Here is a 19,572-nt window from a genome sequence, read left to right as displayed (position 1 = left end):
CCCAACATCCTGTAGGGGAGTTGGACCAGACTTGCTCTCATGGCCCCAGAGGGCATGGAGTCAGGTCAGAGCATTAAGCTGCTGGGAGACAGGCATCACTCAGGATAAGGAGGTACCCGCTGCCAGGAAGAGCTGCCCACAAGTGCAATGGGCTGCCCACAGTGGGTGGAGTAGATACCCCATCCTTGAAGGGGCGAGCAGGATACCCACTCGATGGGGGTGGAAGGTGGAGACATGTTGGCTCTGGAGGAGCTTGGAGACTCACCCTATTGGAAAAGAGGAGGTGAAAACGTGGAAAGTAGGATGAGGTTTTCTTGTTTGTTTTTTACAGGGACAGCATCTTGTTCTGTTGCCCGGGCTGGAGTGCAGTGATGCAATTCTAGCTCACTGCAGCCTCAACCTCCTGGGCTCAAGCAATCCTCCTGCCTCAGCCTCTCAAGTAGCTGGGACTACAAGTGCGTGCCACCATGCCCAGCTATTTTTTTAAGAAATGTTTTGCAGAGATGGGGTCCTGCTATGTCGCCCAGGCTGGTCTCAGAACTCCTGGGCTCAAGAGATTCTTCCACCTCTCAAGTAGCTAGGACTACAGGCCTGCACCACTGCACCCGGCCAACACATGGAAAGTTTTTAAAGAAGGGAACTCAGAGTGGGGTTCCAGGAGTACCTGCTGGGGCAGGATGGAGAGGCAGAAGCTGGAAGCTGAGCCCAGTGGGGGTAAATGGACAGTCCATGAAGGTGCTCATGGCCATAGCCCCCCAACAGCCCCCTGAGAGCACTTCTCCATCATCTGTCTGCCATCGAGCAAATTGGCACAAATCGGGTCATCCCTTCCAGCAAAATGAGTGTCTCTGAGGCTGCTGTTCCTGTCCATCACTCATCCGCCTCAACACCGCAGGGAGTGGTGGTTTTGTTCACATAGGAATAGCCGAGTGTATGTAACACCATGGCCTGATCAGTTTTTCGGGCACAAAAAACAGTAGGAGTGTTTGGATAGCAGATAGACCTGCCTGCGTTTCCTCATAATAGTTTTTACTGGAACTGTCCATTTCGAAGCACCGCAGGGAAGGAATTGAAAAGTTAAGGTCATTGATTTTTGGAGGGAAAAGATGATCTGAAATCTCCATGGCGACTGACCAAATCTTTTTGCAAAAACACAAAGGCGATGACATGGTTTCCAGGGCGCAGCACGGAGGTCTGAAGGGCAAAGGAGTTGTGTGGATTTCCATCCGGGGAGGAGGGAGAGGGGCTCCGGGAGTGCACGACCTACTCCACGGAGCACGGCCGTGCCACCAGCCTCTCAGCTTCCTCCCTCCTCGTTATCTGCATTTATTCTCCAGCAGCTTCCACGGTGGGGAATTTTGGGGCCCACCCCACCTGAGAGCCAGCCCCACAGGCAGCATCGGCTCCTTGCCTGCGCACTGGCGGGAAGGGCTGGCGGGGCCACTGATGGATTGAGTTTTCCATGTGGAGGGGGCAGCTGAGAAGTATGTGATTTGGCCAAGCAGGCTGTGTGGTTTTGAGCACTTCAGCAGTGATCCCCAACTACCGCCATTAATAGGAGGGCCAGAGGGAACAGGCTAGGGGGAGAGATGGTGCCAAGCGCTTTCTATAGGGTCGGCACTTAGGGAGGATCATGTGAGGGAGGACCACGTGAGAAAAGATCAGCATTCAGGGAGGAGCACATTTAAGGAGGATCATTTTAGGAAGCATCAGCATTCAGGGACAATCAGGATTTAGGGAGGACCAGCATTCAGGGAGGATCAGCATTTGGGGAAAAAAAAATTAGCTGGGCATGGTGGCTTGTGTCTGTAGTCCAATTTGGGGAGCTGAGGTGGGAGGATCACTTGAGCCCAAGGAGTCCAAGGCTGTAGTGAGCTGTAATTGTACCACTGCGATCTGGCCTGGGTGATACAGTGACTTTGTCTCTAAAAAAAAAAAAATGTAGATACCATGTGGGTAAAAAGTCTTGTCTCCTTTCCTTACCAGAAGAGATAGAGCTAGTTCAGGATTATGATTATATTTTCATTATAAAGTATAATTTTTTTTTTTTTAGAGACGGAGTCTCGCTCTGTTCCGTCACCCAGGCTGGAGTGCAGTGGCGCGATCTCAGCTCACTGCAAGCTCTGCCTCCCGGGGTTCACGCCATTCTCCTGCCTCGGTCTCCTGAGTAGCTGGGACTACAGGCGCCTGCCACCACGCCCGGCTAATTTTTGTATTTTTAGTAGAGACGGGGTTTCACCGTGTTAGCCAGGATGGTCTCGATCTCCTGACCTTGTGATCTGCCCGCCTCCGCCTCCCAAAGTGCTGGGATCATAGGCATGAGCCACCATGCCCGGCCCATAAAGTACAATTATTTATTTGTTTATTTATTTATTTTGGAGACAAAATCTCACTCTGTGACCCAGGCTGGGGTGCAGTGGCATGATCACAGCTCACTGCAACCTCTGCTTCCTGAGCTCAAGCAATCCTCCCTCTTCAGCCTCCTGCGTAGCTGGAACCACAGGCGCGTATCATTACACTTAGCTAATTTTCGCACTTTGTTTTTGTAGAGACAGGGAGATTCACTATATAGCCTAGGCTGGTCTTGAGCTCCTGGGCTCAAGCAATCCTCCTACTTCAGCCTCCTAAAGAGATGGGATTCCAGGTATGAGCCACTGTGCCTGGCCTATTTATAGTTTAATGGTAACATCTGCTATGCTTAGAAGTTTGCAGTCCACAAATTTACATTCATATCGGTGCTATTGTCTTTGGGACTTCTGGCTCCCCTGGGAAGGTGAACTGCTACTTTGTAGATGGAAAACTGAGGTTGTGGCATTGAGATTTGCCCAAAGCCATTTGGGGGGGGAGGGTAAATGGTGCAACCAGGACACCAAGTGTCTCCCGGTCTCACATTCTCACGCCTTGATAGTATGTTTTGACAGCAGGTTGTTTTGGCGAGGATGCTTTCAGATGCGTTGTAAAAACCCTACTGATAAATTGGGCTTGAACAACCAGGTCACTTAAGATTTCACATATTGAGAAGTGAGTGGCTGCAGAGTTGGCTAATTAGGCAGCATCACACAGTCAAAGACCCTGCCTCCTGCTCTGCCTTCCCCAGGCTGTCTTGCCTCATGGCTCTAAGATGGCTGCCACCGCTCCAGGCTTCACAACCTCACACAACTGTGTCCAGAAATAAGGACACAGCTTCTCTTCTTGCATAGCTCTGTTGCCCAGGCTGGAGTGCTATGGCATGATCTTGGCTCACTGCAACATCCACCTCCCTGGTTCAAGCGATTCTCCTGCCTCAGCCTCCCAAGTAGCTGGGACTACAGGTGCCCACCAGCACACCGGCAAATTTTATATTTTTAGTAGAGACAGGGTTTCACCATGTTGGCCAGGCTGGTCTCGAACTCCTGACCTCAAGTGACCTGCCCGCCTAGGCTTCCCAAAGTGCTGGGATTACAGGCGTGAGCCACCGTGCCCGGCCTGGATCAGGCTTTAATCTGAAATTTAACCAGGATAATCCTGGAGTCTTTTTTTCTGAATAAATGGCACTCTCATAAAAGCTGTTTTAAAATGTGGGCCAACAGAAGAGAAGAGGACTGCCATTGAAAAGATGGTTTAGGCTGGGCACGGTGGTTCATGCTGCAATTCCAGCACTTTGAGAGGTCGAGGCAGGAGCATCACTTGAGGCCAGGAGTTCAAGACCAACCTGGGCAATATAGCAAGACCTGGTCTCTACAAAAAGTTTTTTTGTTTTGTTTTGTTTTGTTGTTGTTGTTGAAGCAGAGTCTCACTCTGTCTCCCAGGCTGGAGTGCAGTAGCATAATCTCAGCTCACTGCAACTTCTGCCTCCCAGGCTCAAGTGATTCTCCTGCCTCAGCCTCCCAATTAACTGGGATTACAGGCACATACCACCACACCCCACTAATTTTTGTATTTTTAGTAGAGACTTAGTAGAGCTGCACCATTTCAGGGGGAGGAATGCTCCCCCATGAAGGAGGGGACACACAAGAAGGCCCCCACTCCTAATCTCCCACTGCAGCAACTGTCCCACAAGCATCTCCCACTCTGTGAAGACAGAATTTTGTTTAGGTCTATTGTCCCCTGAAACCATCTCTCTATGGACTTGAATGGAGAATTATTAAGACTTTGCCGGCCACACGCAGTGGCTCATGACTGTAATCCCAGCACTTTGGGAGGCTGAGGAGGGAGGATTGCTTAAAGCCAGGAATTTGAGACCAGCCTGGGCAATACAGCGAGACCCCATCTCTACTAAAAATTTAAAAATTAGCTGGGCATAGTGGCACGTGACTAATCCCAGCTACTCGAGAAGCTGAGGTGGGAGCATCTCTTGAGCCCCGGAGGTCAAGGCTGCAGTGAGCTGAGATTGCACCACCACACTCTAGCTTGGGCAAAAGAGCAAGACCCTGTCAAAGAAAGGAAGAGGAAAGATAGAGGAAAGAAAGAAAAGGAAAGGGGAGGGGAGGAGAGGGGAGAGGAGGGAAAGGACAGGACAGGAAAGGAAAGGGGGCAAGGGAGGGAGGGAGGGAGGGAGGAAGGAAGGGAAAGAAGGAGAGAAAGAGAGAAAGAAATGAAAGGAAGCAGTGAAAGGAGGGAGGGAAGGAGGGAGGGAGGGAAGGAAGGAAGGAAGGGAGGGAGGGGAGGGGAGAAAGAAAGAGAAAGAGAAGAAAGGAAAGAAGGAAGGAAGAAAAAAGAATGAAGGAAAGAAAGAAAGAAAGAAAAAGAGAAAGAAAGAAGAAAAGAAAGAGAAAATAGAATTTTCACAGCCAGAGGCCTTGGAAAGATCATCCCGCCCCAACCCCCTTTTTACAGGTGAGAAAACCGAGGCCCAGAGAAGGGGAAAGGGGAAGGGAAGGGCTCAAGCTGGCACGGCAAGCTGGTGACGAACCAGGACAACCGCCAGGATTCCTGCTTTTAATTTCCTCCCATCCTCCTGCAATCAGCGGGGAGGCTGGTTCCCAGTGTTCACTTGGGGGGGAAAATCCCTGATAAGAATCTAAGGAATGTGACTGCTGAAAGGGACTGACTGTGGAATTTGGCATCCGACACGATCACATCACAGCCCAGCGAGTCTCCACCAGCAGAACACCTTTTCCAAAGGACCAGGCTCTGGGACTAATTGTCCGGCAGCCGGTGGCACCCCCGCCACACACTGCTGTCTTGGCATCTCTGAGAAATTCCTCAGTTCCCCTGCAAAGGTCAGGCCCGGGAGAATTTGAAGCCACTCCGAATCCAGGGGAGAATGAAATAAACCCGGCTGGTAATGAAGTCTGCCTTTTATGTTGGATCATTTCTTTCCAAGTCTGACATTTCTTCCTACCTTTCAAGGTAGGAATTTTTGGCAGTTCACGTAACCCCCAGCAGGCAGAGAGGAAACGTGGCTTCGACACCACCAGATCCTGCAGCTTTCCGCTGGAGACAAGAGGTGGTGTCCTGGGTTGGGGCCCAGTTGGGAAATTGCTGCAGGGTCCATCCCTCTCCAGGGTCTTCCTCCTCCTCCTCCTCTTCTCCCTCCTCCTCTTCCTCCTCTTCCTCCTCCTTCTCTTCCTTCTCCTCCTCTTCCTCTACCTCCTACTCTTCCTCCTCCTCAGCCTCCAACATCTTCTTCCTCCTCTTCCTCCTCCACCTCCTCCTCTCCCTCTTCTGCCTCCTCCTTTTCCTCTTCTTCCTCCTACTCTTCCTCTTCCTCCTCCTTTTCCTCCTCCTCTTTCTCTTCTTCCTCCTACTCTTCCTCTTCCTCCTCCTTCTCTTTGTCCTCCTGCTCCCCCTCCTCTTCCTTCTTCTAGTCTTCCTTTTCCTCCTCCTCCTTCTCCTCTTCCTTCTCTCCTCTTTCTCTTCCTTCTCCTTCTCCTCCACCTCCTGCTCCTCTTCTTCTTCCTCCTCCTCCTGGCAGGATTAGAGCTGGGAGAGGCTTTAGAGACCATCCCGCTGACATAGCTTTCATCATCACCCTCATCATCACTGGTAGGAAGCTCAGAGCAGTGCTGCCTCTTGTCCAGAAGCCCAGTGACTGGGAGGCTAGGCAGGCAGAGTCAAAGGCCTCGTCATGTTCTACAATCCTCTGGGGCTGGTCTCCACTGTCCAGACGGCTTGAAGGATCAGGGAAAGCCTTACCCCTATGCCTTCTCCAGGCAGGTAGTTCTGCAAAGAGCTGGTATGACAGCGCCATCCCTGGGTCTGCAAAATCATCCCCAAGCCAGGGACTCGGTGACAACTTCCAGCCAAATGCAGCCTCACACGGGACACACCTGTGCAGACGTGCTGCTGTCCACCTGACCCGTGTAACTGCAGCCTGCAGAGAGACCACAGGCCCTTGAACTCCCGTCTCCGCATCTCCCCACCCCTCGTTCGGGTTTAGCGCAGGGCCCACATCAGTGGTATTTACTGAATGAACAAGTGAAGGAAGGAAGGCGGTGTGGGTCGGGCGCAGTGGCTCATGTCTGTAATCCCAGCACTTTGGGAGGCCAAGGTGGGTGGATCACCTGAGGTCAAGAGTTCAAGACCAGCCTGGCCAACATGGTGAAACCCGGTCTCTACTAAAAATACAAAACTTAGCTGGGCATGGTGATGTGCACCTGTAATCCCAGCTACTCGGGAGGCTAAAGCAGAAGAATCGTTTGAACCTGGGAGGCAGAGGTTGCAGTGAGCTGAGACCGCACCATTGCGCTCCAGCCTGGGCAACAAGAGCGAAACTCCATCTCAAAACAAATAAACAAACAAAAAATAAAATAAAATAAAAATACAAAAATTAGCCAGGAGTGGTGGCGGGCACCTGCAATCCCAGCTACTCAGGAGGCTGAGGCAGGACAATCACTTGAATCCAGGAGGTGGAGGTTGCAGTGAGCCGAGATCGTGCCACTGCACTCCAGCCTGGGTGACAGAGTGAGACTCCATCTCAAAAAAAAAAAAAAAAAAAAAAAAAATAGGAAAAAAAAGAAAGGCAGTGTGGACTGAGGTCTGGAAGGGACAAAGCCCACTCCATGACCGAGCCCACCAGGCCTTCTGCAAGGATCTCCCTGCGCTCCTGAACCCCTGAGCCCTAGGCTGAGCCATGCCTCTCTCCACATCTGGGCCTTTAGCCCACCAAAGTCTAGAATGCCTACTCCCCTCCCCACCCCTGCCTCCCTGAGGGCCACCTACTCGTCTTCCACATCCTGCTCAAGTGGCCCCTTCACTCTCAAATATTTGCTGTCCCCTCTGCACAGATTTGGTCCCCGCCCTTTGGTTCCTCCAACTCTGCCCACAGCACTCGCAGCCACTGTACCACCCCCGGACATGACTGTCTCTCTCTCCCTGAGAGCAGAGACTTACTCAACTTGGATCTCTGCGGCAGCATCTGGCATTGAGTGGGTGATAAGTAAATATCTGGGAAGGCCAGGGGCAGCGGGGGCCATGGAAGAACTAATTATACATAAACTGTGTATTGGAAGAAACAACTTTATGATTCTTATGTTGTTTCTAACATATTTTGTGATCAGATTATTTCCCATGGGAATGCATGTTCAAAATTAGAATGAAGGCGGGGCACAATGGCTCACGCCTGTAATCCTAGCACTCTGAGAGGTTGAGGCAGGAGGATCAGCTGAGGTCAGGAGTTTGAGACCAGCCTGGGCAACATGGTGAAACTCTGTCTCTATTAAAAATACAAAATTTAGCCAGGTGTGGTAGCTTATACCTGTAATCCCAGCACTCTGGGAGGCCGAGGCAGGAGGATCACCTGAGGTCAGGAGTTCAAGACCAGCCTGGGCAAAATGGTGAAATCCCATATCTACTAAAAATACAAAAATTAGCCAGGTGTGGTGGTGCACACCTGTAATCCTAGCTACTCAGGAGGCTGAGGCAGGAGAATTGCTTGAACACAGGAGATGGAGGTTCCAGTGAGCTGAGATCGTGCTTCAGAAAGAAAGAAAGAAGAGAGAGACAAAGGGAAAGAAAGCTCATTAGAAAGAATATTCCTTTTTTTAAAATTTTTGGACAGAGTGTCACTCTGTTGCCCATGTTGGAGTACAGTGGCACAATTATAGCTCATTGTTGCCTTGACCTCCTGGGCTCAAGCAATCCTCTCGCCTCAGCCTCCTGAGCAGCTGAGACTATGGGCCTGCGCCACCACACCTGGCTAATTTTGAAATTTTTTGTAGAGATGGGGGTCTCACTATATTGCCCAGGTTGGTCTGAAGCTCCTGGGCTCAAGCAATCCTCCTCCCTCGTCCTCCCTAAGTGCTGGGATTACAGGTATGAGCCACCACGCCTAGTGTCTCTCATCTTGATGGGCAATTCTGACCCACACTGAGTATTTTAAAGCTCTGTCCATCCCCCTGTGCAGCCCACCCAGGGGCTCACTCCACACCTGGGTAAGCATCCCGCACCACTCCCACCTTCCCAGCACAGAATCAGCCCCTCCTCCCATATCTACCCTAGCCAGGCATTTGTGATTCTAATCAGACTGCCGCCTGATAATGCCCTTATGATGAAGGGCTTCGACTCAGCAAAGTCGACCCCCTCCTCTGCAGCGGCCCTCTGAGAACTCTACGCGCTGCTTTGGGGAGTGATAACTGGGGAGGGGACTGAATTGCTTCCCGAGGTACAGACAAGGAAGCAGGGCTGAGAGGGTGAATAACACATTTGCCCTTGGTGCAAAGTCTGGCTCACGGAAGCACACGACGAAAAGCAGCCGCTGACACATTGATTCTTGCCATTATTGCAGGTCAGGAGGGAGACCTATGACATCTTAGAGGCTGCTTGGGTTCTCTGTGACCTGCTGACTTGGGGCGAGGGAAAGTCAGGATTCCGTCCATAAGCGGACATGTCCATAAGCCCAATAAGAGGACTTGGTTGCCGAGAAAGCTCAGGAGTTCGTATTTCTGCCCTTTATGGGCGGAGGGAGAGGGAATCACAGAGCTGTGTGTCAAGAAACTGGGGTCTTATCCCAGCTCAGCCTGTGACTTCCCAGGTGACATTGGCTAAGTGACCCCTAATCTCCAGGTCTCCTCATTGGAAAATGACAAGTTCAAGCTGACAAGCTCCAGCTCATATTCTCCAATAGATTGTAAAATAGATACAGTGAAAAACAATCCAGAATGTCCACGAAAGGAGAATGGAAGCAGCATGGGATTCCTGCAGTGGAATAGTACACAGCACTGAAAAAGCACAAGCCACTTCAACAATCTAAATGAATCACACAGAGATGATGCAGAGCAAAAGAAGTCACACCCAATAGAGTTCATGCTGAATGATTCTGTTTATATGACATTCAAGGACAGGCAAAGCTATTCTATGGTGATGAAATCAGAACCATGGTTACCTCTAGGGGGCCTACCTGGGCACACCAGAGCCCTCTGGGTGCTGGAAATGTTCTCCCTCTGGGCCTGAATGGTGGTTTACATGAGCATACACATAAGTAGAAACTCATCAAGCTGTATAGTTGAGATTATACACTTTAGACCAGGCATGGTGGCTCACACCTGTAATCCCAGCACCTTGGGGGGCTGAGGTGGGAAGACTGCTTGAAGCCAGGAGTTCGAGACCAGCCTGGGCAACCTAGCAAGATGCCTTGTCTCTGCAAACAACAAAAAATTATCCAGGCACGGTGGTGTGTGCCTGTAGTCCCAGCTACTCGGGAGGCTAAGGCAGGAAGATCACTTGAGCCCAGGAGGTTGAGGCTGCACTGAGCTATGACCCCACCATTGCACATCACCCTGGGTGACAGAGGGAGACCCTGTCTCAAAAAAAAAAAGGAGGGGGGGGGAGGAGAGAAGGAAGGGAAGGGAAGGGAAGGAGAAGGAGAAGGAAAGGAGAAGGAAGGAAGGAAGGAGAGCAAAGAAAGGAGGAAGGAGAAAAGAAGTAAAGAAAGAGAAAAGAAAGAAGAGAAAAAAGAAAGATAAAAAAAAAGAAAGAAGATGAAGAAGAAGGAAGGAAGGAAGGAAGGAAAAGAAAGCAATTCTAAGTCCTCTGTTCAATGAACATTTGTGAAGCCCTTTCTAAGCACCAGATCCTGAGACACTTACTGGCCTGAGACAGCTGAAAAGGAGACCTGCAATCTAATGAGAAGACACAGACAACACAAAGAATCACAGAAACATGACACAGGTGACAAGAACAGGCAAGGACCTGCAGTGCACAGGAGCCCTTAGAAGGTGGTGTCTGGTTCTGCCGGGGAGGGACAGGGAGGTCAACTTCACCCATTGCACAGGGACTCTAGCCCCTCCCTTTGTTCCCAAAGCCTCACCTTTGGCCATGTCTCTCCATCCCATGCTTTGGAGCCTGTCTTTGCTCCTCATTCCCCCACCTCTGCATCTTACAGCCCCATCTACCCAGCGTCACCCCAGGCCTGGGCTGCTGAAGGAGCACCCCACAGCCACAAGATGTGGAGCCCCAGTTCTTCCACACATTCACCGTCTGATCTCCACTGGGTCTTGCTCTAGGGAGCTGCATTCTCCAGTCTCTGACATCAAACCCTTGTCCCCAAGCCTGGGATTCTGTCCTCCTCTAGGGTGCCACAGTCCTCTAAAGAGCATGGCCAGGAGTGGTAGCTCACACCTGTAACCCCAGCACCTTTGGGAGGCCGAGGTGGGTGGATCACTTGAGGTCAGGAGTTCAAGACCAGCCTGGCCAACATGGTGAAATCTCATCTGTACTAAAATACAAAAATTAGCCAGGCATGATGGCGGGCACCTGTAGTCCCAGCTACTAGGGAGGCTGAGGCAGGAGAATTGCTTGAACCCGGGAGGCAGAGGTTGCAGTGAGCTGAGATTGTGCCACTGCACTCCAGCCTGGGCAACATAGCAAGACTCCATCTCAAAAAAAAAAGAAATGCTTAACAGCTCTGGAATTGTCAGAGGAGCAGCTCTATGGGGCTTGGAGTAGTCAGTCAGGGGCTGGGAAGTGAGGCTGAGGCTGGGCAGTAGACTAGGAAGAGACAAAGGCCTTAAGTGCCATGCTATGGGATTTGAACCTTGGCCTGAGGCATGGGGAACCACTAGGAGTTTTGTGTTGTGTTGTGTTGTGTTTTAAAGACAGGGTCTTGCTCTGTCATCCAGACTGGAGTGCAGTGGTGCGATCTCGGCTCACTGCAGCCTCAACCTCCTGGGTTCAAGCAATTATCCCCCCCTCACCCTCCCCAGTAGCTGGGACTATAGGCACTCACCACCACACCACACCTGGCTAATGTTTTTTTGGTTTTTTGGTAGAAACAGGATCTCACTATGTTGCCCAGGCTGGCCTCAAACTCCTGGGCTCAAGCAATCCTCCCACTGCAACCTCCCAAAATGCTGGGATTACAGGCGTGAGCCACCATGCTGGGCCACCAGGAGTTTTCAAGCAAGGGCCGGATGTGAACAAAACAAAGTTCCAGAAGGTTTTCTCCCAGAGCACCTAAGTGCACAAAGACCCCAAGGCTGAGACCCTCGACAACCCCAAGGCTGCAGCCTCCAGAGATACCTGAGCTGCCCTCAGCGGGTCGCAGGCAATTCCTTGGCCTGCTTTGTTTTCAGCGGTGATTAAAGGCAGATGTCCCTCAGGTGGAAGGAGCCACCTTCCCCCTATTTTTCCCCTCTCATCTGGCTGCTGTGCTCAAGTCCGACAGGCACCAGGGGGTTGACCACAAGAAAGTCACAAAATCACCGCAAAAGAATTGCAACTCTCCCCTGGCAACCAGAGGGAAAGATGCCGTTTCAAGTTCTCAATTCATTCCTGCAGAGCCATTTTCCCTCCAGCCCCGCTGATTAAAGAGCTTTTTTCCCAGGAACCCCTGCAGACGGCCAGTTCCCACCTAGCCTCATCCCAAGAGTGGGGCTACCAGGGCGGAGGGCCTGCCTAAGGCACTTCTACTCATTTGTGGTTTCACCGTGGGATCAAAACAGAAAATTAAACCCATCACAAGCTGCAGAATGCTCTGAAGTGGGCCACCCAAGGGTCACACATGAAAAAGCTGGAGACTCAGGACTTGCAGTTTTCCTACGAGAAAGATTTCTTTTAATCAGTCTGTGGTGGGTTCTCCAGGCTTTCGGTTAGAATTCCTCAGGATAAGGTTTTCTCCCTTTCAGAAGAGATCTCACAACAGGACATTCGGAGCCATATGACAGTGAGATCTAGAAACTGCTTTATGGGGCTGGGCGCGGTGGCTCATGCCCGCAATCCCAGCACTTTGGGAGGCCAGGGCAGACGGATCGTCTGAGGTCAGTAGTTCAAGACCAGCCTGGCCAACATGGAGAAACCCCGTCTCTACTAAAAATACAAAAATTAGCCAGGCATGGTGGCAGGCACCTGTAATCACAGCTATTCAAGGGGCTGGGGCACGAGAATCACTTAACCTGGGAGGCAGAGGTTTCAGTGAGCCGAGATCACACCACTGCACCTTAGCCTAGGTGACAGCACGAGACTCTGTCTCAAAAAAAAAAAAAAAAAAAAAAGAAAAGAAAAAGAAACCGCTTTATGGAAACAAATCTACAGCAACAGCCAAGGAGAACTGGAGGTCTCCTGCTTTCTCATCCTCAGAGACACAGAGTCAGGACAAGGATACTGAGACCATTCTACAGATGAGAGAAAAGAGTGTGGTTGGCCGGGCGCAGCAGCTCATTCCTGTAATCCCAGCACTTTGGGAGGTGGAAGCAGGAGGATCGCTTCAGCCCAGGAGTTCAAGACCAGCCTGAGCAACATAGCGAGACCCCATCTCTACAAAAAAAAAAAAAAAAAAGAAAAGAAAAAAATAGCTAGGCGTGGTGGTACACACCTGTGGTCCCAGCTACTCAGGAGGCTGAGGCAGGAGGATTGCTTAAGGCCAAGAATTCGAGGCTGCAGTGAGCTATTATTGTACCATTGCACTTTAGCCTGGGCAACACAGCAAGACCCTGTCTCTAAAAAACAAACAAAACCCCTTGTGCTATAACAAATTACCACCAACTGAGTGACTTAAAACAGCACACGTTTATAATCTTATCATTCTAGAAATGAGACGTCCAAGGTGACAGCAGGTGAGTTTCCTCCAGAGTCTCCGTGGGAGAATCTATTTCTTGCCTTTCCTGGCTTCTAGAGATCCCCCTGTCCCTTGGCTGGAGGCTTCTTTTTGACATCACTCCAACCTCTGGTTTCCATGGTAACATCTCCTACTACTCACTCTGGCCCTCTTGCTACCCTCTTACAAGGTCCACTGGTCCTAGCTCTAAGCCTAGTACACAGTAGGTGCTCAATAAGCATTGGTTCCCAGCCAGGCGCAGTGGCTCATGCCTATAATCCCAGCACTTTGGGAGGCTTACGCAGGAGGGCTACTTGAGGCCAGAAGTTTGAGACCAGCCTGGGCAACATAGCAAGATCCCATCTCTAAAAAAAAAATTTTTTTTTAATCTAAAAAATAAAATATTTTTAAAAATTAGCCAGGTGTAGTGGCACACACCTGTAGTCGCAGCTACTCAGGAAGCTGAAGTGGGAGGATCCCTGGAGCCCAGAAGTTTGAGGCTGTAGTGAGCTAGGATCACACCACTGCACTCCAGCCTGGGTGACAGAGTGAGACCCTGTCTCTAAAATAAATTAAAAATTGGCCAGGCACAGTGGCTCACACCTGTAATCCCAGCACTTTGGGAGGCTGAGGTAGGTGGATCATCTGAGGTCAGGAGTTCAAGACCAGCCCAGCCAACATGATGAAACCCTGTGTGATGGTTAATACTGAGTGTCAACTTGATTGGATTGAAGGATGCAAAGTATTGATCCTGGGTGTGTCTGTGAAGATGTTGTCAGTTTGAGTCAGTGGGCTGGGAAAGGCAGACCCACCCTCAATCTGGGTGGGCACCATCTCATCAGCTGCCAGTGCAGCTAGAATATAAAGCAGGTAGAAAAATGTGAAAAGGCTAGACTGGCCTAGCCTCCCAGCCCACATCTTTCTCCCGTGCTGGATGCTTCCTGCCCTGAAACATCCAACTCCAATTTCTTCAGCTTTGGGACTCAGACTGGCTTCCTTGCTCCTCAGCTTGCAGATGGCCTATTGTGAGACCTTGTGATCGTGTTAATTCAGGAGTTAATACTCCTTAACAAACTCCCATATACATATATCCTATTAGTTCTGTCCCTCTAGAAAACTCTGACTAATATACCCTGTCTGTACTAAAATTACAAAAGAATTAGCTGGGCATGGTGGCACACGCCTGTAATCTCAGCTACTGGGAGGCTGAGGCAGGAGAACTGCTTGAACCCAGAAGGTGGGGGTTGCAGTGAGCTGAGATTGTGCCACTGCACTCCAGCCTGGGCAATAGAGCGAGACTCCATCTCAAAAAAAAAAAAAACAAAAAAACATTTTTTTATTGAAAATGTAAAAAAGATCCTTATTTTGTTTACATCTGAACAGTCCCTTTTACCATGTAAAGTAGCATATTCACAGGTTGCAGGGATTAGGACTTACCTATCTTTGAGGGCCACTCTCCTGCGTCCCACCCGTGGCAAGCCCAGACCACACAGCTGATAGGTGACCAAGCTATCAGTGGTGAGGCCATGCGGTGGAGGGAGGCACATTTCAGACAACTAGGAATTGGATCACAAATGACTGTCACCCTTTCTGGGTTCCCAGCCATCACCAAAAAGCCTGGTTTTTGGCCAGGTGCAATGGCTCATCCCTGTAGTCCCAGCACTTTGGGAGGCTGAGGCGGGTGGATCACTCGAGGTCAGGAGTTTGACACTAGCCTGGCCAATGTGGTGAAACCCCATCTCTACTAAAAATACAAAAATTAGCCAGGTATGGTGGTGGGCACCAGTAATCCTAGCTACTCAGGAGGCTGAGGCAGGAGAATTGCTTGAACCCGGGAGGCGGAGGTTGCAGTGAGCTGAGATGGCACCACTACAGTCCAGCCTAGATGACAGAGTGAGACTCCATCTTAAAAAAAAAAAAAAAAAAAAAAGCCTGGTTGTTGGATACTTGTTCCCTAGCTGGTACGGAAGGCACCTGCTCATAACAACAGATGGAAAAAGGAACCGGTGCCTATAGCTGGGGGGCAGGAGGTAGATGCACACTGCCCCAACAGGCCAGACTCATGGCCCTCATGTACCTTCACTCCTGCTGTTTTCCTGCAACCTGGAGTAACCCTCCTGCCTGTGCACCCGCCACCCTCACGGCCCAGCCCCGTCACACCTCTGCAGTGAAATCTCTAGCAACTTCTCCCTCCTCTGCCAGAATGACCTCTTTCCTTAGCCATTTGCATCCACTGATGTCTCAGGCCCATACACTTCCCTGCCTCGAAGAACACACACTGCCCTGCTGGACTCTGAGAATGCACTTCCAGGCCAGGTGCTGTGGCTCATGCCTGTAATCCCAGCACTTTAGGAAGCTGAGGCGGGAGGATCACTTGAGACCAGGAATTCAAGATCAGCCTGAGCAACATAGCAAGACCACATCTCTACAGAAAAAAAAGAAAAGAAAAGAAAAGAAAAGAAAAGAAAAGAAAGGCTTGGCATGGTGGCTCATGCCTATAACCCCAGCACTTTGGAAGACCGAGGTGGGCAGATCATTTGAGGTCAGGAGTTTGAGACCAGCCTGACTGACATGGTGATACCCCGTCTCTACTAAAAATAGAAAAATTAGCCGGGCGTGGTGGCACACGCCTGTAGTCCCAGCTACTCGGGAGGCAGGAGAATCTCTTTGAACCTGGGAGGTGGAGGTTGCAGTGAGCTGAGATCGTGCCACTGCACTCCAGCCTGGGCAGAAGAGTGAGACTCCGTCTCAAAAATAAATAATAATAAAAATAGGGTCCAAATGCAGAGATCAATGTCTCCTTCCAGAGAACCATAGAGAAGACCTAGAAGGACTAAATGAGAAACATGAAGACTCTAGTTTGCTTCTGAAATTTCCTGGCTCCAGCTGTCATCCAATAGGACCTTCTCTAGGTCCTAGGATACGGGCCCAGGAGTATATCACAGCCCTTGCCCAAGATGAATTCACAGATCAGATACAATCAGGCCCCAGGAACACTTTTTAAAAAAAATAAAAAAAATAGAATCCCGGCCAGGCCCGGATGCTTCCAGCAAAAAGGGGGTGACCCACACCCCCCTATATGCTCCCACGCACAGTCATGTGTGAATAAACTGAGACCAGAGAAACTCCTGCCTTGCCCCCAGAACCGGACACCCCAGAGAGGCAAACAGGCCATGTTTTTCTTTGCCATCTGCTCAGCTTCAAGGGCTGGGGCCCTCCCCATCCCCCTTTCCTTCCGCTGCTCTGTTCCCCTGAGGCTCCTGTTACCACAGCCAGGCAGCGGCTGACCTCAGAACAGAAGGCTTTGGTTAGCAGGTCAGGCCAGAGGCAAAGGGCACAGGCCAAAGAGTAGACCTAGAGAGGGAAAGGATCTCTAAAGCCACAGTGGGAGGAGAGAGGAGCAAAGAATTCTGAGGTCCCCGGGAGGCCCACAGGCAAGGCCCCCTCCCCACACAGCCTGGACCGGTTGCACAGCCCACTGAGCTTCCCAGCCTCGGAATCCCTGAGACCTCACCAGATATTTCCAAGAAATTTTTAGAAATATCTCCCTTCTCCATCCACTTCCATGCCCTAAAGCTGGTGGCTTCTTTAAAAGTGGCTCCAGGCCAGGCATGGTGGCTCACATCTGTAATCTGAATGCTTTGAGAGCCTGAGGCTGGAGGATTACTTGAGGCCAAGAGTTTGAGACCAGCCTGGACAATATAGCAAGATCCCATTTCTCAAAAAATTTAAAAAGTAGCCAGGCATGGTAGTGCATGCCTGTAGTCCCAGCTACTCAGGAGGCAGAGGTGGGTGGATGGCTTGAGCCCAGGAGTTTGAGGCTGCAGTGAGCTATGATTGCACTACTGCCCTCCAGCCTGAACAACAGAGCAAGACCCTGTCTCACCAAAACAAAACTAAAGCCAGGCTCAGTGCCTCACATCTGTAATCCTAGCACATTGAGAGGCCGAGGCGGGCAGATCGCTTGAGGTCAGGAGTTCAAGACCAGCCTGGCCAACACGGTGAAACCCCATTACAGGTGGCACACACCTGTAATTCCAGCTACTCGGGAGGCTGAGGCAGGAGAATCGCTTGAACCCAGAAGGCAGGTTGCAGCGAGCTGAGATTGTGCCACTGCACCCTAGCCTGGATGACAGAATGAGACTTTGTCTCAAAAAAAAAAAAAAAAAAAAAAAAAAACCCTTAACATGAGACCTAAAAGGTCTAAAACTCTTAAAAGCTTCATGACACTAGATTGGCAATGATTTCTTGGCTATGACACCCAAAAAAAGCCCAGCCAACAGGAGAAAAAAAGAGATATCAATAAATTAAGTTACATCAAAAGTAAAAATTTCTGTGCATCGAAAGATCCAATCAACAGAGTGAAAAGGCAACTCACAGAATACAAGAAGAGGTGGGGAAATCTCCTGGGCTCTGGAGTTCAAGACCACCTGGGCAACACGGTGAAACCCCATCTCTACTAAAATACAAAAAATTGCCAGACGCGGTGGCTCACGCCTGTAATCCCAGCACTTTGGGAGGCCGAGATGGGCGGATCACCTGAGGTTGGGAGTTCGAGACCAGCCTGCCCAACATGGAGAAACCTCGTCTCTACTAAAAGTACATAATTAGCTGGGCATGGTGGCGCATGCCTGTAATCAGCTACTCGAGAGGCTGAGGCACGAGAATTTCTTGAACCCGGGTAGCAGAGGTTGCCGTGAGCCAAGATCGCGCCATTGCACTCCAGCCTGGGCAACAAGAGAAAAACTCCATCTCAAAAAATAAAATAAAATACAAAAAAAATAGCTGGACATGGTGGTGCATGCCTGTAGTCCCAGCTGCTCAGGAGGCTGAGGCAGGAGAATCGCTTGAGCCCCAGAGGCAGAGGTTGCAGTGAGCCAAGACTGAGCCGCTGCACTCTAGCATGGGCTTCAGAGTGAGACTCCATCTCAAAAAAAAAAAAAAAAAAAATGTGCAAATCATACATCTGATAAAGGGTTAATATCCAGATACATAAGGAACTCCTACAACTCAACAACAATATAGAAACAACCCAATTCAAAACAGGGCTAACAGCTTAATAATAGAAATTTCTCCAAGGAAGATATACAAATGGCCAGCAAGCACCTAAAAAGATGTTCAACATCACTAATCATTAGGAAAAGACAAATCAAAACCACAATGAGATACCACTTCATACCCATTCGGTCAAAACCCGCTCTTTCCCATCTTGCAAGACAGTGGGTGAAAATGTTAAGACGGATACTGAGGAAACCTGAAGCCAAGAAGGCTGATTCTGGTGGCAAGGTGAAAAACGGTCACCTCAAGGCTAAAAAGCCCAAGAAGGGGAAGCCCCATGGCGGCCAAAATCCTGTCCTTGTCAGAGGAATTGGTAGATATTCCTGATCTGCTATGTGTTCCAGAAAGGCAATGTACAAGAGGAGCTACTCAGTCGCTAAGTCCAAGGCTGAAAAGAAAAAGGGCCAGGCATGGTGGCTCACGCCTGTAATCCCAGTACTTTGGGAGGCCGAGGCGGGAGGATCACTTGAGGTCAGGAGTTTGAGACCAGCCTGGCCAACATGGTGAAACCCTGTTTCTACTAAAAGTACAAAAAAAAACTTAGCCGGGCACAGTGGCTGTGCCCCTAGTCCCAGCTAGTTGGGGGGCTGAGGCAGGAGAATTGCTTGAACCTGGCAGGTGGAGGTTGCAGTGAACTGAGATCGTGCCATTACACTCGAGCCTGGGCAACAGAGTGAGACTGTCTCAAAAAAAAAAAAAGAAAATAGGTGGTGATTGCCAGGGGCCAGGGGAGGACAGAAATGCAGTTAGCATTTCACAGGTACAGAGTTTCGGGGCTTTTTGTTTGTCTGTTTTTGAGACAGAGTTTTGCTCTTGTTGCCCAGGCTGAAGTGTAATGGCGCGATCTCGGCTGACTGCAACCTCCGTCTCCCGGGTTCAGGAGATTCTCCTGCCTCAGCCTCCCAGATAGCTGAATTACAGGCTTCCACCAGCACACCCAGCTAATTTTTTGTATTTTTAGTGGAGACAGGGTTTCACCATGTTGGCCAGGCTGGTCTTGAACTCCTGACCTCAGGTGATCCACCCGCCTTAGCCTCCCAAAGTACTGGGATTACAGGCGTGAGCCACGGCGCCCGGCCCAGAGTTTCAGTTTTGCAAGATGAAAAGAGTTCCAGAGATGGATGGTGATGGTGATTGCATGACAATGTAAATGTCTTTAATGCCACTGTGCTATACACTGGGAAATGGTTTAAGATGGTAAATTTTGGCAGGGCGCAGTGGCTCACGCCTGTACTCCCAGCACTTTGGGAGGCTGAGGTGAGCAAATCACTTGAGGCTGGGAGTCCGATACTTGGCCAACATGGTGAAACCCCTCTTTAATAAGAAACAAAAACTAGCCAGGTATGGTGGCGCATGCCTATAGTCCCAGCTACTCGAGAGGCTGAGGTATGAGAATCGCTTGAACCCAGGAGATGGAGGTTGCAGTGAGTCGAGATTGCACCACTGCACTCCAGCCTGGGTGACACAGTGAGACTCTGTCTTAAAAAAAAATATATATATATATATATATATATAAATATATATATATATATAATTATATTAAAATATATGTTAAAAAATAT

General features: G+C 50.0%; 1 protein-coding gene across 5 annotated transcripts in view, besides 5 other annotated features; it reads right to left on the bottom strand.

The window, feature by feature from the left end:
• COL26A1 (collagen type XXVI alpha 1 chain) overlaps positions 1-19,572 on the bottom strand; it is a 196,637-nt gene that overhangs the window by 151,745 nt on the left and 25,320 nt on the right. The window lies entirely within an intron of this gene.
• Positions 5,749-6,276: an enhancer, noted in NCBI's record as "H3K27ac-H3K4me1 hESC enhancer chr7:101044285-101044812 (GRCh37/hg19 assembly coordinates)". NCBI's record gives its function as "activates a minimal SCP1, AML or CMV promoter by ChIP-STARR-seq in primed H9 embryonic stem cells {active_cell/tissue: H9 hESC(primed)}" and the evidence as "EXISTENCE:reporter gene assay evidence [ECO:0000049][PMID:30033119]".
• Positions 8,061-8,662: an enhancer, noted in NCBI's record as "H3K27ac hESC enhancer chr7:101041899-101042500 (GRCh37/hg19 assembly coordinates)". NCBI's record gives its function as "activates a minimal SCP1, AML or CMV promoter by ChIP-STARR-seq in naive H9 embryonic stem cells {active_cell/tissue: H9 hESC(naive)}" and the evidence as "EXISTENCE:reporter gene assay evidence [ECO:0000049][PMID:30033119]".
• Positions 15,955-16,074: an enhancer, noted in NCBI's record as "active region_26407". NCBI's record gives its function as "activates an Ori minimal core promoter by ATAC-STARR-seq in GM12878 lymphoblastoid cells {active_cell/tissue: GM12878}" and the evidence as "EXISTENCE:reporter gene assay evidence [ECO:0000049][PMID:35858748]".
• Positions 15,955-16,332: a biological region, named in NCBI's record as "Sharpr-MPRA regulatory region 586".
• Positions 16,038-16,332: an enhancer, noted in NCBI's record as "tiled region #586; HepG2 Activating DNase unmatched - State 5:Enh, and K562 Activating non-DNase unmatched - State 20:ReprD". NCBI's record gives its function as "activates a minimal TATA promoter and a strong SV40 promoter by Sharpr-MPRA in HepG2 and K562 cells {active_cell/tissue: HepG2 | K562}" and the evidence as "EXISTENCE:reporter gene assay evidence [ECO:0000049][PMID:27701403]".

The sequence above is a fragment of the Homo sapiens genome, chromosome 7 (genome assembly GCF_000001405.40).
Source record: "Homo sapiens chromosome 7, GRCh38.p14 Primary Assembly".
NCBI classification, from domain to species: domain Eukaryota; kingdom Metazoa; phylum Chordata; class Mammalia; order Primates; family Hominidae; genus Homo; species Homo sapiens.
This window is presented reverse-complemented; position numbering and strand designations above follow the sequence as displayed.